The 2,576-nt window shown below is 35.8% G+C and overlaps 1 annotated feature.

Moving 5' to 3' along the window:
• Nucleotides 1,370-1,969: an enhancer, noted in NCBI's record as "OCT4-NANOG hESC enhancer chr4:30444783-30445382 (GRCh37/hg19 assembly coordinates)". NCBI's record gives its function as "activates a minimal SCP1, AML or CMV promoter by ChIP-STARR-seq in naive H9 embryonic stem cells {active_cell/tissue: H9 hESC(naive)}" and the evidence as "EXISTENCE:reporter gene assay evidence [ECO:0000049][PMID:30033119]".

Here is a 2,576-nt window from a genome sequence, read left to right as displayed (position 1 = left end):
ATCTAACTAATAAAATCCAATGGAAAGGGTAATAGTAAGAACAGCTTTAAAAAATGGTGGCAGGAATGTTATATGGTTCTGGAATGTTATCGTTCCTAAATTAGGATTCTGAAGAAAATAATCTTTTTCTTATAAAAGTTAATTAAATAAGTTTATAAAACAAACTCTAAAGCAATAGAGTTGTAATTATTAGATTACTTACTCAGCAGTACTTTTTATTTTTTCAATAGATTTACAGTGATAGTAAATTTTAGCTGTGGTCGATTTTGACTTATGTGAAAAGAATTTTGAATAAACTTCCATTACTTGATGACACTGGCCATTAACATAACCTGCATTTTCTAAGGAATAAGATTGTATGAGACAAGAAAACAATTTTATTTTTTAATTTATTTTTATGAAATTCATTTATTTATTTTCAGACAGTCTCATTCTGTCACACAGGCTGGAGTGCAATGACATGCTCACAGCTCACCGCAACCTCCACCTCCCAGTCTTAGGTGATTCTCCCACCTCATCCTCCCAAGTAGCTGGGACCACAGGCATGCACCATCGAGCCTGGCTAATTTTTAGTATTTTTGGTAGAGATGGGGTTTCACCATGTTAGCCAGACTGGTCCCGAACTCCTGGCCTCTAGTGATCTGCCCACCTCAGCCTCCCAAATTTCTGGGATTATAGGTGTGAGCCATCACACCTGGCCAATAAAACAATTTTAGAAATAGAAGCAACAGTTTTTTGTGCATGTTTAGTTGAAATATGATGAGGAGTAATATAAAGACATGATTTTAATAGCATGTTTGCACACGATTAATATGAATATAATAACAAATTTATGATACAATGTATTTTTTAAAAATGTTTAAATGTTCTTTTAGTCCTCTCAATGATGGTGTAAGGTAGCTTTTATCCAGACTGGAGAAATAAAATATTTTTTGTTAGGATATGTCTGAAAATAATCCTCATCTTTTTTATTTAAAAATCATCCTTACCAACACGGTGAATTGAACTAATTAAAATAAATGCATAAAATATTAAAAATAATTTTTGTTGCCCTGTTTTTAATATAAGCACACAGATTAAAACATTGTTTTAACTTCCAGAAATTAACAACCATTTTCTTAAGTCAGCTATGGTAGAATGACATCAACAAGTTGACAGAATACAAACTTTCTACCATCTTCCTCCTGTAGAAGAATTTACTTTGACAACAATCCATGAACAAGAGTAGTTTTGTGGGAACATAGAAGTCTAGGGAAGAAGTTCCAGCTCATCACTGGAGCAAAATTTTGAGAACACATGCATCAAAGAGGGTGAGAAGAACAGTTTTGCTTTACCTTATTACCCTTTCTCTCACAAGGTGGCACAGCTAAGAAACAAGAGAGGCCACCTTCATCCACACCTTATCTGACATGTGAAAGTGACAATGTAGTAAGTGAATGCCTGGCTCCCCCACCATGCAGGATCCTGCCCAAGGGGCCCACTTGTCTTTTGCTCCACCCAGAAGACTAAGCTGATCACCATGGCTGAGTTATTGGGAGAGCTGGGAACAGAGAAGAGAGGACAGACTATGCTAAATACTCTGCAGACTTCATCAGGAACCCCCTATGAGCTGCATGGAATGTCTTGCCTTTGGATTCCCCACTAACTGATACAATGGTACGTCTAATGCTCCCCATGCTGACACACTCCTTCCCCCATGCTGGCAACCTTTTGTCTTGTGCAAACAGGCAGCTCGACTCTGCAGAAATGAATGAAGGCACACAAACTGTAGCATTTTAGGGCATTACCCTAGGGAAAACAAATGGGAGGCTTTCAGTGTCCAGCCTGGCTTTGTAGGATCAAGGGAATACATAAAATTTTAAAAGCTCCCCCTTCATCCCCGAGGGAAGAAGAATTTGTAGAAAAGAATTCATAGAGAAGAATTCATAGAAAAGAATTCAGATTCCCTAGCTGGGATGATTGGTGAAGGTATTTCTCTCTCAAAGCCAATCGGTAAAGACTGGAGGAGGTGACTGCTTCTTCAAATACAAATAGAGCAATGCAAGAGAATAAGAAACACATGTGTACACACACACACACAAAACAAGGAAAAATGATACCACAAAAAGAACATAATCATATTCCAATAACCAACCCAAAAGAAATGGAGATCTATAAATTAAAAGGGCCATGCAGAAGGATGAGAAGAATTGTATCAAGAAGTTATGTAGATGTGAGAAACTGTGAAGAGGAAAACAACAATATGTACACAGCTTCTTTCCCTCTGATTAATGTAGAATTACTGAGCAGGGATTATTTTATTAATCAAAGCATCATTTAATGTTAGAAATTTTATCACTTTTTTTCCTTCAGACATGTGAGGAGAAAAAAGTAAAAAATTCTATTGGTAGGTTCCAATAAAACATTTGGTAATATCAAAATTAATTCCCAGTGAAAAGTATGAGTGTCAGAGAAATATAAAGAAAATGAATAAAACAATTTACCAAAACCTTGAATAAGCATTATTCTACAGAACAAAATTCTAAAAACCATTTAAAATAGGGAAGTCAATGGAAGCTGAACTCTTACTATATTAT

Source organism: Homo sapiens, chromosome 4 (assembly GCF_000001405.40).
Source record: "Homo sapiens chromosome 4, GRCh38.p14 Primary Assembly".
Lineage (NCBI taxonomy): Eukaryota > Metazoa > Chordata > Mammalia > Primates > Hominidae > Homo > Homo sapiens.
The sequence above is the reverse complement of the archived record's forward strand: the minus strand, read 5'-3'. Positions and strand labels throughout refer to the sequence as shown.